The following is a 14,582-nucleotide window of genomic DNA, read 5'->3' as shown; positions in this document are numbered from 1 at the left end:
TTGTCAGCATACATACCACCGATGTTTTCTGCTATGCCAGGGTATACACATCCAGTTACCAGCAAGTTCAAAACTGTTTCTGTAGGCTCGAAATCTGGAAGGTTAAGAAGGTCATCAACTATGTCCATTACAATACTGGCTGTGGCATCAGAAAGATTCTTCGCTGAGAGAATTGCAAAAACATTGGTCAGGATATCACATTCTGGGTGCCCAGGCTTCTGTTTAGCCAGCAAAGGGAAATATCTGGAAGAAAAAACATTGTAGTAATCATCTTATTCTCAATATGTTCACTTCTAAAAACATGTCCATATGAATTTTCACCATGAGTTTAACAAATATTCAACATTAATAAGATTATTCAAAGGGGAATTAGTTTAAATCTAAAATTTGATGGATAATAATTCTAAGTATTACCTTACAAACATATTACTTAGGCACTTTATATATATTTCTCATTTAATTCTCACAACGTTTCTATGTGGTCGTATCATTATCCCTACATTACAGATGAAAAAACAGATTTGTCCGAAGCCACTGAGCTAATAATAGAGCTGAGATTTGAATCACAATCTAATTCCAATGTCTAAGCTCTTTCTAAAAGAGACTTACTGAAAACAAACTACTTTTCAGTTATAAGCTTTCAAGAATGTGAATGTTTATACACTCACGTAAAACCCTATGTACTAGAACATAGGAGTTAGGAGTACAGACCAAACAAACGTTTATTGATTAGGATATGGAACATTCAATGTTGGGAGACAGGGATGAATCCATCCCCAATAATGAAAGACTCACATGAAAGTTATAAATATCCTTCCTGATGCAAATGCACCAACAAGGGCAGAGAGACAAAGGCTTTCCAGCCAAGGGTAAACCGGCAGTTGATTCAGTCAGAAATGCAATCCTAACAATTACTAGGAAGGTCAAACAGAAACAATCCAGATAGTTTGCCTTTTTCAATTTATCATCACTGGAAAAAAAACAAAAGAGCTTGAGCTCTTTAACATACTTAGCATTGACAAACTGACAGAAAAGTTCTAAGAGGTTATATTCATACATCTTTCTGTCCAGCAAATACTGTGCATGGTACGGGTAGGCTCTACACAAGACACTATATTATATATTATCATCTCTATTATCAATGAAGTAGGTCTGTTATTATATCCATTTTACAGGTGATGAAACTGAGGCTCAGAGGCAAACTTGACCAAAAGAACGCACAGTGGTGCTAGGATTTGAAGCTACGTTAGTGAGGCTTCAGAAACTGTGCTCTTAACCACTATGTTGTTTTGTTGTCTTAAAATTTTTCTAGCAGAAAAGGGAAGGGAACTGCTTTCAACTGCGAGTAAAGTCCTAGCAAGAGCCCATTCAGATACAATGCAACTTCCCAGTGACCAAACCGTTTTCCCTTGACCAACGTAACTTGCTGCCACAGTACAATGAGCATGCTACATGCTAACGTGAATGGCTCAATCAGCAATTCCAATCACTCAGACAACATGCAATGATCATCAGCTACACATGGATGGAGATGTGTAACCCTCTGTGGAGTAATAAATGAGACATGGTCTTTGCCCTGAAGGAGCTGTGGATAATACGTTATGAAGATAGATGAATACAACAAAGGCAGTATGTGATGACAGGGCCTTACAGAGCTGGAAAGGGCATGCAGGAAGAAGAGACTGCTATGCTGGGGCTGTGGTGACTAGAACCAGAGCAGCTAAGAGAGGGGTCTGGGACAGTCCCAGCTTACATTGGCTGTTTTGACTTACTTATTACAACTCTTTTCAACCTCAGGAGTTTTTCAGTTTGGACAAAAAAGTACATGTTCACCCTAATTAATAAGTTTTTGCTGTCCTGAGTTCAGCTATTTCTGAGAAAATTTAAACTTACTTATAAGCTAGTAAAATGCTAGACTTCTCTATAGATGAAAAATCTGTTTTAATTTCTGATTGATACTATGTAAACTGCAACTACACTTCAAAATCTAAATTTTTTTAATTAAAAAGTAACATTCCCATTGAAGGGGTTCTGAAATATTCATTCGTTCTTCCACACACAACTTCATATGCATATCTATTGTTATGTGGATTCCAAGGGAAGTCAACACTTTTATAGATTTCTTCAGGTGAGTGTTAAGTATAAAAGGGAAAAAAAGGTTCTGCTGCCTAACTCTTCCATTGCTATATGGCTTCTATTTACCCAACCAAAAAATGAGAAATTGCAGAAAAGAATGAAGTGGCATCCAACAATGTGGCTCAATACCTTCAATAAGGACCCAATGAATATAAAAATGAATCTCTATTGTAAAGTCTTCCTGGATGAAAGTCCTTCATGGCTTATTTGCATAGAAATGACAAAACTATACAACATTTCTCAAGTAAGCCTATGAAGTGTCGCTTACAAATGTCCAATGATAAAGATATAAAATTGCTGTGTCAAATTGGGGAATAAATGTAGAGAACATACTATTAGTAAAATAAACAAGTTTTCCTGAGGAAGACAATGTCACGGTTTTTGGTTTGTTTCTGAAGACTAGTAACATGAAGAAATGTTCATGACATAAAGATACATGAAAAAAACAAAATCAAAAGCCAGTACAGTATGATTCCAATCTTGTAAAAACCAAGACTATGATTTTAACATCACTGAATCAATAATAAAACCTTTTCTGACCATGAGAGCTGAATGTACATTTAGATGGAGTTTCACAAAGAAGACAATGGTCTAGAAAATCTAGAAAGCTTGTGAGGTTTTCCTGATTTTCAGTGGGAACTGGGAGAAAGACATAGAATGCCAATTACAAGTCAGCATTTATTTTTAAGCAAGCATGCAGAAAATGATAATATTTATGTGATGATATAACTATCTGGTGTGTTTCACATTCTGTTTCTCCCTTTGCCAGGCCAAATCAAACTGCTGACATAATTATTACATATATTGGAAGAACATCTCTATCAATTCTAATACTTAAAATTTTCAAGTTTTAATCAAACTGTAAAAATTATTAAAAAGTATTAGTTTTAGCTGTAATACATACTCTAAAATTTTCATTACTTTGCAAGATGTTATTTTACCTATTTTTCCTGTTTAATTATTATAAAAAATTCAAACAGTCCAAAGGATGTATTATGAAAAGTCTCCTCTCCCTGCTCTGGTCTACCCAAACCTCCACGTGCTATGGCCACATTGTTAACAGTTCTCATGTGTCCTTCTGGACAGTTTCTATTTCATTTCATATTTATACACATAGACACAAACTTTCCTGGATCACACTATATATACTGTCTAGCAATTTATCTTTTTATCTTTTTTTTTTTTTTGAGACAGGGTCTCGCTTTCACCCAGGCTAGAATGCAGTGGCATGATCATGGCTCATTGTAGCCTCAACTTTGTTGGCTCAAGCAATCCTCCCACCTCAGCCTCCAAGTAGCTGGAACTAAAGGCATGCGCCACATGCCCAGCCAATTTTTTGATTTTCAGTAGAGACAAGCCCTCACTACGTTGTCCAGACTGGTCTCGAATTCCTGAGGTCAAGCAATCCTGCCTCTGCCTCCCAAAGTACTGGGATTACAGGCGTGAGCCACTGTGCATGGCTACATTTTTCTTTAAACTATGTATTTTGAGATCTTTCCTTGCTTTTACTCAGCTGCCTCATTCTCTAACTGTACCAAAAGTAGTTCACTGTATGGAAAGACCATAAATTACACTATTAGTTTCCTGGACTGCTTTAACCAGATTCATCTAAAACACTGCCCTTTTTAAAGAAGGAAAAAAGAAAGGTTATACCTTGCGTTTCTGCTCCAGATACTGATCAGTTTCAGCAGAGGAGTAGGAGAATATTGACTCTCAGATCCAAGCCTGCTGATCTAGGAGACAAAGTAAAAAACAGAATACCAAATACATATACCAAATTATAGAAAAACCACAAATAACTAACAAGTACAGAAATCACAGCACAGGATGAAAAAGACAAGGGACAGAGATGAACATCCAAATGACACAATAAGAAAAAGTATAAAGAGATCCAAAAGAACATCTACATAGGAAAAATGGCAAAGGTGATGCATGGAAGTGCTAGACACCAGAAAGGAAATGGTATTTTAGGTTTCAGAGTGTTGGAAATGACTGGGACCTCAAACACCTAGAAACATTTCCTAAAATCAAATCTCTCCTTCAGTCTATACCTATACCAGTTACCATCACCAAGGGGTTACAACCAGAGAAATCAAAATAGGAAGTATGTAATAAAAACACCTGGGTGTTTTCCCTCACACTTGTCCAAAGCCAGAGGCAACGCTATGTGAGGTGCTATAAAAGTCATGTTACAGGCCGGGCACAGTGGCTCACGCCTGTAATCCCAGCACTTTGGGAGGCCAAGGCAGGCGGATCACCTGAGGTCAGGAGTTCAAGACCAGCCTGGCCAACATGGCGAAACTCCATCTCTACTAAAAATACAAAAATTAGCTGGACATTGTGGTGCATGGCTGTAATCCCAGCTACTTGGGAGGCTGAGGCAGGAGAATCTCTTTCTTGAATCCAGGAGGCAGAGGTTGCAGTAAGCAAGACTCTATCTCAAAAAAACAGTTATGTTACAGTTGCTTAAGAGACACATTCATATTCAACTGAGCCTTAAGTGTAAATGCCATGGTACAGCAGAAACTAACTCTTGAGTTTTAGGTGGTAGTGAAGGCAAAGAAAAGTGTTCTAAAAACTTCCAGAAAGAAGGGCTCGATGTAAAAGGAAAGACCCAGGTAAGCATTCATGTCTGGGTGGTAGCTATGTTGGTGAGTTAGTAATAAAGGAAAAAGCAGAACGTACATAGGCAGATGTAGAAATTGAGGTTTACCTGGGGCCAAACTGCACCATGAAACACAGCATCAATTTCTTCTGTTCTAAACTGATATGATTCCCAGTCCAAAAAGATATCAGTTACCATTTTGATTCCAAGACGTCTTAAATTTTTCAATGGATTAATAAATCTCAGCTGTATCTGTAAAACAAAGATCTTCTGTTCAAAAAATACATATGTATCATTTTTATCCCTGATTCCTCAGAGAGGCACTCTTGCTCAGGTGGCTAAGAATCAAACTGGAAATCCTGTTACTAAATCTGTTGACTTGATTTACATGGGAACACCAACCAAGCAAACTGTCTTACTTTTCTCATTGAACAAGAAAAGAAAGCAGAGTCTTAAAACAATATCACTGCCTAGTAGTCACACTAGTTATCCTTAAGAAAAAATATTACAACTGGAATAGTTGTTTTGTATTCTGTATTGTTTTACTTTTTCATTCAAGTAAAATCCTGATTTCTTCCCATGAACAGAACATTCTAAACAAAGCAAAACTTTTTTTTAAAATTTTTTTCCCAACATAATGCCTTATATTAGGGGGAAAAAAATTAAATCTTCATTTCAAATAAAAGCCATTTTTCTATTTATTTCCATACTTAATATTTTACTTTTTTAAGACTAGAAGTTATAAATTATTCTTGTTAAAATTAGTCTAGGGGACTAGTTAAGGAATTTATGATTTTTCCATACAGTGAAATACTTTGTACAGCAAGAGGATGATGTGACTGAGTCAAGGGATAGGAAGATCTCAACATACATAGTTCAAAGAAAAATGCAATTTAGGAGGAAATACGATTTGTCTGTTTAGAGGCATAGAGGCTGGAATGAGTGTGAAATAAAAGCAAACCTTTAAAATAACAAATATTGCTACTTCCACTGGCATCTCCTTCGCTGTGAGTTATAAAATCACAAATACGCAGCCAATTTGTTCAGGCTCAGAGTAGGACAATTTATTGAGTCCCTACTAATGGCTCCAGTGGCATGCCATTAGTATGAATTGAGGTCCTGACCTCAATTCAACTGAAAATCTTATTAAAGGCAAATTTATTGAATGTATGTGAGAGACTGAAAATGCGAAAGACATTTCTTTTTTTTCTTTTTGAGATGGAGCTTCGCTCTTGTTGCCCAGGTTGGAGTGCAATGGCACAATCTGGGCTCACCGCAACCTCCACCTCCTGGGTTCAAGTGATTCTCCTGCCTCAGCCTCCCGAGTAGCTGGGATTACAGGCATGCACCACCACGCCCCGTTCATTTTGTATTTTCAGTAGAGACGGGGTTTCTCCATGTTGGTCAGGCTGGTCTCGAACTCCCCATCTCAGGTGATCTGCCCGCCTCGGACTCCCAAAGTGCTGGGATTGCAGGTGTGAGCCACCACACCCAGCCCAAAGATATTTCAGTAGGAGGAATTACTACAAATTTCAGGATAGAGCTTCATGGAATAGGCAGATTTCTACTGGGTATTAAAGAATGAAGAGCTTTAGGCCAAGCAGAGGAAAGACAAGGGCCTCAAAGGGATTTTTCCCTAGCACAGAATGTTAAAAAAAAAAAAAAACAAATGGGAGAAGATTCAACCCCTAATTGTTTTCCCACTTGATTAGTAAACTGTGGGCTCTAGACATACAAGTGATAATTTATTTTTATATATCACCTTAATTACCTACATTAAAACCTAAAAGCCACCTTGCAATTTATAAAGACAACACAAATGCTCTCATATAGTGAATATCAAGTCTTATGGCCAAGATAACATGAAGAAAACTAATAGGAAAATTACTTATCATGAAAATCTGATAATCTGACAGACAGAGGTATTTGAATCTGATACAGCACATTTTAAATTCAAGTAAATATGAACAAGGATGTCATTAGTTTGCTGAGCAAGCCTCAGGAATCATGGTATCTCACATATGTTCTACTTTCAGCTTATTATCTTATACAAGTTACAAAGGAAATGACAGGTAAGCAAGCACAAGGTGATGTAGTTACAAGTCATTCTGCTCTGCTTCAATTCTACTAGCAATATTTTCATCAGCTGCATCAAGTTTAGTGAAAGATAAAAATTATCCCTGATATTTGAAAAAACATATTATATGGAGCAAATATGAAGCTCACAACTGCAAACATGATATCAAATAGACACTCCCCATCCATCTCCCATTCCCACCAACCACCCTTCCCATTGGGTACAATCTGCATGTTCTATTCATTTCTGTAACTAAAGTGCCAGCTGCCCAATTTACTCAATAATTGTTGAATAAACTAGAGAAAAATCCTGAAAATGAGCAATCATAGAATTTAATTCCTAGAGGAACAGTCAATATGATTGAGTTTGTGTATGTTTACAAGTTACACTGTTGCTTAAATGTACAAAAAAACCTCAAAACCAACAATTTTCAAGTATCTTTCAATACCGATCAATGCCCTAAAGGAAAGACACAAAAAAGTAAATATATAACTGAGCTCAAGCACATAAATGTAGAACTTTAACTCACTTAAGCAAAACTACTGTGCAATAATTCACTTTAAGGAATTCCTTGGATGGGTCCAAGAATTTCAAAGGAAAATATAAGAAAGCTCCTATCTGTCAACAAGCTTAAAATCTCATTAACTAATGAACTGTGAAACTGTATAAATTATCCTTTGAGTTACTGATTATTGACTTGGGAGTGAGGCTGCATTACTAAGTAACTCCTAAGTTAACCAAAAATGTGAAGGCACTACACAGGCAAACCTTTCACAATTTAATATATTCATATACAGACAAAGTCACTATCACTTGCTACAAAGCATAAACAGGTTCTCACCTGATTCTTCCCATGGCCCTTATTACACTCTCATATAACAGAGAAAGAACTTTCTAAGACCTCTTTTCTGCTTCCATTCTTGGCCTCCTATAGTCCCTTTTCCACAAAGCAACTAAAGCAATATTTTTAAAACACTACACAGTCCTTATTACTCACCTGCTTCGAGCTTCTCAGCAGTTTCCATTATCCTTAGAAGTAAATTCACCCCCTCATCATAGCCTACAAAGTCCTACAGAGCCCCTACGACCTACCTCTTCATCCTCACCTTACATGACTCTTCCTGCTCCTGGTGCTCTAGCCACCACAGCCTCATCTATTCTTACAACATGTCAAGACCATTCCCAACCAGGGATTTTGCACTAGTCATTTTCTTTGCCTGAAATGTTCTTCTCATGGTGAGGTGTAAGCTCAAAGATCACCTTTTTATAGAGGACCCTCACCATCCTAGTAAATGCAGCACCTATCCACCCCTACACTGATCACTTTCTATTATATTTCCTCGTCTTACATTAAATTTTGCACATCTTCCATGTCTCTCCTTAACATGCTCATGATTTCTTCTACTTTCTCTAATATATGGAGTGTTTTTATAATAACTATTTTAATGTCCCTTTTTTTTTCTTTCTTTTTTTTTTTTTAAGAGGCAGAGTCTCACTCTGTTGCCCATGCTGGAATGCAGTGGTGTGATCTTGGCCTACTACAGCCTCAATCTCCTGGGATCAAGTGATCCTCTCACTTTAGCCTCCTGAGTACAGGTGTGCACTACCGCACCTGGCTAATTTTTTTACTTTTTTGCATAAATGGGGTCTTGCTATGTTGTCCAGGCTGGTCTCAAACTCCTGGCATCCAGTGATCCTCCCACCTTGGCCTCCCAAAGTGGTGGCATCAGCCTCCTTGTCTAATTCTATTATCTGTGTCATTTCTGGATCTGCTTTTATTGATTGCTTTTTCTCCTCATTATAGGTAAAATTTTCCTCCTTCTTTGTATGCCTAGTAATGTTTGACTGCATGTCAGATATTGTGAAATTTATTTTCACTTAAATCATTTACAATTTTGGGCTTTGTTCTGGGATCAAACTTGAAATGAGAGTTGGAAGATACCTTATACTTCTAGGCTCTTGGAATTAAAATCCAAGAAATATCAGTTCAAGCACTTGACTTGAAAGCATCTATAGTGAATCTAACCTTTTCTCGTTGGTCAAGGATGTGTGATACGGTTGCTGTCATACAGAGCAGTATCTGCAAAATCTTCGGCAGGTATGCGCTGATCAGATGACTAATGTTTTTCAATACTATCTCAAGGCTGTTTAAGATACCGTGCTGACGACCTAAAGGAAGAACTTTAGACAAATCCAAGTCTTCTACTGCTTGAATGACTGCAGAATGGCACTCTCCTAGTGAAACAAAGAGGACGAGAGGTCATGTAAGGTAACATATTAGTTTGTTACTATTTATAATTGTAGTTTTATTTCCATTTCCCTTAATAATACAGTATTTTCTACTGTCATGGTAATTTATAGATGACAATGCACTTTTCTTATGTATTATCTCCTTTTGACTCTTACCAAATACTCAAGGAGCTACATAAGACAGGTTTAACTACCCCCACTTTAGAGAAGAAGAAACTAAGGAATAAGAGGGTAAGAAATCTGCGACAGAACTAAGTCTCTAAACCTAATTCTCATCCAATTTCTTTACACTATCCCTCAAAACCTGAGTTATGAATAGTTTCTTATTCCATCTGGTAATTTTTTTTTTTTTTTTTTGAGACAGAGTCTCACTCTGTCGCCCAGGCTGGAGTGCACTGGGGCGATCTCGGCTCACTGCAATCTCTGCCTCCCGGGTCCACGCGGTTCTCCTGCCTCAGCTTCCCAAGTAGCTGGGATTATAGGTGCCCACCACCACACCTGGCTGGTTTTTGTATTTTTAGTAGAGTTGGAGTTTCACCATGTTGGCCAGGCTGGTCTCGAACTACTGACCTCAGGTGATCCACCCACCTCAGCCTCCCAAAGTGTTGGGATTACTGGCCTGAGCCACTATGCCTGGTCCTCCATCTGGTAACTTTCTATACACTTTTCTTACTTTCCATTTCATTCAGCTCTACTGAGTTTGGCAGTTTTACTAGAAGTAACTTTCTGTATTACAAGTTCCTTGAAGGCTGAGAATCAAGTTTTATTTCTCTTGTAAATCCTAGTTAGTAAATAAAATCAGAGTCCCTTATAAACAGCTGCTGCCATATTAATTTCAAAATTTACTGAAAAGATATGAATTGTTATTGCTTGACCTTTATTTCAAACCATCTGATGTGAGGTCATGAGCTTATGGATTCATACACCCAAACGGGCCATCCATAAGAGTATCATCTATACCTACCTCCTACAGTGGGAGTTATACATTGAACAGAAACTTTTTTTGGCATTCATCAGAGCCAACCTCCTTTACAGGGCAATATTATACTGAATGAAAAACCTGTTAACAGCTGGACCTATTATCATAGAAAAAATACAAAAACAAATGCAACAGAATACCCTATAAATAATTCTCTATGTTTGACCTCAAGCAAAGCAATTTGGGGACTGGAACAGAGGTTTCATAACCAGAAAGGTCTGAGTTTGAATCCCAACTCTACCACTTTTCATCTGAGTTACGATGGGTGAAATACCTTTCTAAGCCTAAGTTTCCCCATGTGTAAAATGGGGATAATCAAGTAATGACAGCTCATGTGGTTGATTGTCTGAAGGATCAACTGAGTTATAAGTAAATGGGTCTGTCATAACATCTGGCATAAAGTAAGCACTCAATACATGTTAGTCATTACTGTTATTAATAATTACTGACACTGCATACCAAAGAACATACCACAGAGCACTCTAGCTCAATGTATACACGATTACATCCATTTCATCTCAACTATCAGGTTGAGGGCAGAGATTGTACTTTTCTATTTTTAACTTAACAGAGTGTCCAGGGCACAGGAGGTATTCAATAAATCATTACCGAATAGATGAATGACTCAGGGAATGAATAAATGCCAAACAATTAAGATTAATTTGCAGTGTGCTTTGAATTTCTTAGAAGAAACCTATTCTTTGTATTATATGGGTAAGTAATAACCATTTTTCAAATGGCCTAAATATGCAATAAAAATACACATTTCTCATCAGGGGCTCTAACACAAGGGTGCCGATAATCCACAGGGCCAACAGTCAGTTTCACGCAATTTAATTGAAGTTTAAAATGAGTTGCACTTCAGCAAAAAGATTGCCATCAAGATTGGGAGGAACAACCCTGTTAGAAAGACGCCCAGGAGCATGGGAAATGTAGCCTGAGATGTGAGAAGTCCACCGCAGACAACAGGTATTAGAGTGAGAGGTAGCTGATAGTTACCATTCTTGAAATGCCTCACAGGTTCAAACAGCAGGTCTAAGAATATCTGGATCTCCTCAGGTTGGGTCCCGGCCAGGAACCGCAGGACAATGGCCATGCGGGTGCCTGAAGCAGATTTCCCCTGAGTTTTACTCCCAGTCTTATTCTTCATTCGCCCATACAAAATTCTGAAAAGGCAAAAGCACATTATTTGTTTGCACATTAATTCTAAAATATGAGTTGTTTTATTTGCCTAAAAGGCTAGAAGAGCAACTCAATAGATTTAAATGGATATATTATAAAACACAGAAACATGAAAATAGAAATTAGATATTTAACACAGACAATGAAAAAAGTCAACAACAAAATAAGGCTAAGAGAGCTGGGTGCAGTGCTACGTGCCTGTAGTCCCAGCTACCTGAGGGGCTGAGGCCAGAGGATCACTTGAGCTCAGGAGTTTAAAGCCAGCCTGGGCAACTTAGTGAGACCACGTCTCTATAAAAAAATTCAAAAATTCAAACAAAACACAACAAAAAACAAAGCTAAGGGAAGCAGGAAGGACAAAGGCCAGAAGGTGGTTTGTTATGGGAGAAAAAGTAGGCAAATCAAAGGTAAGTCTAATGAAGAAAAAATGAAAATGAGAATATATAGATTAAAAGGAAATAAGAGAATACAATTGTAAGTAAAATAAGGAAGCTGGAAACAGTTCAATGAAAAAGCTAATTTTCAGGAAAACACATAAATATAAATAAATAAAAGGAACTTGAGAAGAAAACCCACAGAGACCGATACTTATTGGAAAACACAAAGCTAATACAGTTTACAAGTGGGCTTTTTAAACTTTCAAGGAAAAAAAATAATTTCTATGCTATGAAGTTTCATAGCAGAGAGAAAGAGGGAAACAGTCTTTTCTCATTTATTAATGTGGCATAATTGTGATATTGAGAAGGGTTAATGAAAATAAAACTACATGCCAATCTTGCTTACAAACATAAAATACAACATTTGTAACTATAGTATCCAGTGCTGCACTGAAATCAAATAAGGATTGCCCCAGGAAATGCAAGAAAGAGTCATTAGTAAAATCTACTAGATTAATACAGATTAATCGTTCCTGGTAAAAGTTAATATAATCATTTTAATATATGTTCAACAAACTTGATGAACTCTGTTACACTAAAATCCATCTATCTTGCACTTTGAATGAATCTTTTACCCATACATGATACTATTACATGCATCAGTTACTTGGAAAATATTCGTTTACTAAGTTATGCAGAAATGTCAAATGTTGACACATTTCACTGCAAACCAAAAAAAGAAATTTGTTTATTAACATTTGTTAATATCATTAATCATCTCATCAGAAAAGTCTTTAAGCATTGGGAAGATGTCAGGTTCATAGTACCAGATAAAAGTTTTCTCCAATCCTAATTTCCACTTGAATGCTAGAATTTAGTTATTGGAAATAAATGCTGACAGTTGTTTTCCTTGAAGTGGCAGGCTCACTGCGTTCATGTTCAAGAAAATGCCTGTGAAAAGAATCCTAGCGTATATGTCTTACAAATAAGAAAAGTAGCTAGTTCAGCTTGTACATCAAATACTCACACGGGTGCCATTCATTGAGACAGCCCATGCACAGCAAAAGTATTTTATGCATTCTTCCCACTTTATCATACATGTACTCAGGGTCAAGACTCATCAAGTGTGTTTGTTTGTTAAATAACTCCAAGTATGTGGCAATGAAGAATGACTAGTAGAATTTGGTGCCACCGTCTTGATTCATGTGCTAGGGTACTAGGAGTTTTACCCACCATTGTTTTTGCCTTGTCAGTACAAATGTCAACACAGTGAAAAAGATAATGTCTTAGTAGTAGTAGCATAAAAAACTTTTGGCCAGCAGCAGAGGCTCAAACTACTTGAAGAAGGCATCGCTGATAAGGACACATTTGAGATGAGACCAAATGAATGAGATGTCAGCTGGCATGTCTTCTATGCAGAGGGATGAGCAAGTGCAAAGAATTTAAAGTGGGTTCTGAGAGAGGTGGTAAACAGGAAGAAATATGGTTATAGATATCATTTGAAGCCACCATATCAAGCCCTGTAGGTAGCAGTAAGGACTTTCTATTATATTCTGAGTAAAATGAGATGTCAAAAGGTTTGTAAACAGGGGACTAACATAATCTGTGACTGCTATTACCATTTGTGATTTTTTTAATAGAGAAAATACAAGAAAACCCAATGACAACTACTAACGCTAATAAAAGTTTTGTCATGTGGATGGCTAAATAACACAAAAATCAATAGCTTTTATATATAATTAGTTATGTAGCAAAAATAAGCTAAAAAATATAAAATGGAAAATTCCCTCTACAAGAACAAAACGTAGTTATAAAATGAAAACACTTTATTGAAAGACTACAAAAAAGGAATGATTTGAATAAATGAATATAAATACTGATGCAACTTCTCCTCAAATCAAAAGGGGAAATTACTTTGGGAAAATCAAAGTAAATGTTCATCTAGATTCTAGAAAAAACCAAAATATTTTGGAAAGAAAGGACTAATGAGATTTGTGATTGTTATTATAAACAAACCAGTGCAGAATTGGAACAAGGCAGATTAATGTAAAACCAGCAAAAGCCAACTGAAGAGTCAATTATACATGGATATTTAGTGCATATTAAAAGTGGCACTCTGGCTGGACGTGGTGGCTCATGTGTGTAATCATAGCACTTTGGGAAGCCAAGGTGGGGGGACAGCCTGAGCTCAGGAGTTTTGAGACCAGCCGGGACAACATCTCTACAAAAAAATACAAAAATTTTCAGCTGGTGAAACTCCGTCTCTACAAAAAAATACAAAAATTAACTGGGCGTTTTGGCACGTGCCTGTAGTCCCAGGTACATGGGGAGCTGAGGCGGGAGGATCGCTCGAGCCCAAGAGATCGAGGCTGCAGTGAGCTGTGCTGGCACCACTGCCTTCCAGCCTGGGTGACAGAGAGAGACCTCGTCTCTGAAATAAATAAATAAATAAATAAATAAATAAATAAATGTGGCTCTCAAATCAGTAGAGAAAGTTTAGACTTTTTTAAAAAAATTATTATTATTTATTTATTTATTTTTTTATTTTTTTGAGACAGAGTCTCGCTCTGTCATCCAGGCTGGAGTACAGTGGCGCGATCTCAGCTCACTGCAACCTCCACCTCCCGGGTTCAAGTGATTCTCCTGCCTCAGCCTCCCAAATCGCTGGGATTACAGGCACGTGCCACCACGCCCAGCTTATTTTGGTATTTTTAGTAGAGTTGGGGTTTCACCATGTTGGTCAGGCTGGTCTCCAACTCCTGACCTCGGGATCCATCCACCTCCGCCTCCCAAAGAGCTGGGATTACATGCGTAAGCCACCAGGGGGCGTCCAGCTGAAAGTCTGGATTTTTTAAGTGAAATGGTATTGCGACAATTGGGTAACACTATTTGGAAAGAAATTAGGTTTAATCCTTACTTCATTTCATACATCAAAATAAATTCCAGATGAATAAAATAATCAAATTAAAACAAACA

General features: G+C 37.3%; 1 protein-coding gene across 1 annotated transcript in view; it reads right to left on the bottom strand.

Annotated features, from left to right (window-relative positions):
- UTP20 (UTP20 small subunit processome component) overlaps positions 1 to 14,582 on the bottom strand; it is a 106,514-nt gene that overhangs the window by 48,325 nt on the left and 43,607 nt on the right. Inside the window, exons 26-30 of the mRNA NM_014503.3 lie at positions 11,047 to 11,213; positions 8,845 to 9,053; positions 4,850 to 4,993; positions 3,790 to 3,869; positions 17 to 243 (exon numbers count right to left, since the gene is read on the bottom strand). Of these exons, the coding sequence (NP_055318.2) occupies positions 17 to 243; positions 3,790 to 3,869; positions 4,850 to 4,993; positions 8,845 to 9,053; positions 11,047 to 11,213 (827 nt within the window). The remainder of the gene's footprint in view (positions 1 to 16; positions 244 to 3,789; positions 3,870 to 4,849; positions 4,994 to 8,844; positions 9,054 to 11,046; positions 11,214 to 14,582) is intronic.

Source organism: Homo sapiens, chromosome 12 (assembly GCF_000001405.40).
Source record: "Homo sapiens chromosome 12, GRCh38.p14 Primary Assembly".
Taxonomy (NCBI): Eukaryota; Metazoa; Chordata; class Mammalia; order Primates; family Hominidae; genus Homo; species Homo sapiens.
This window is presented reverse-complemented; position numbering and strand designations above follow the sequence as displayed.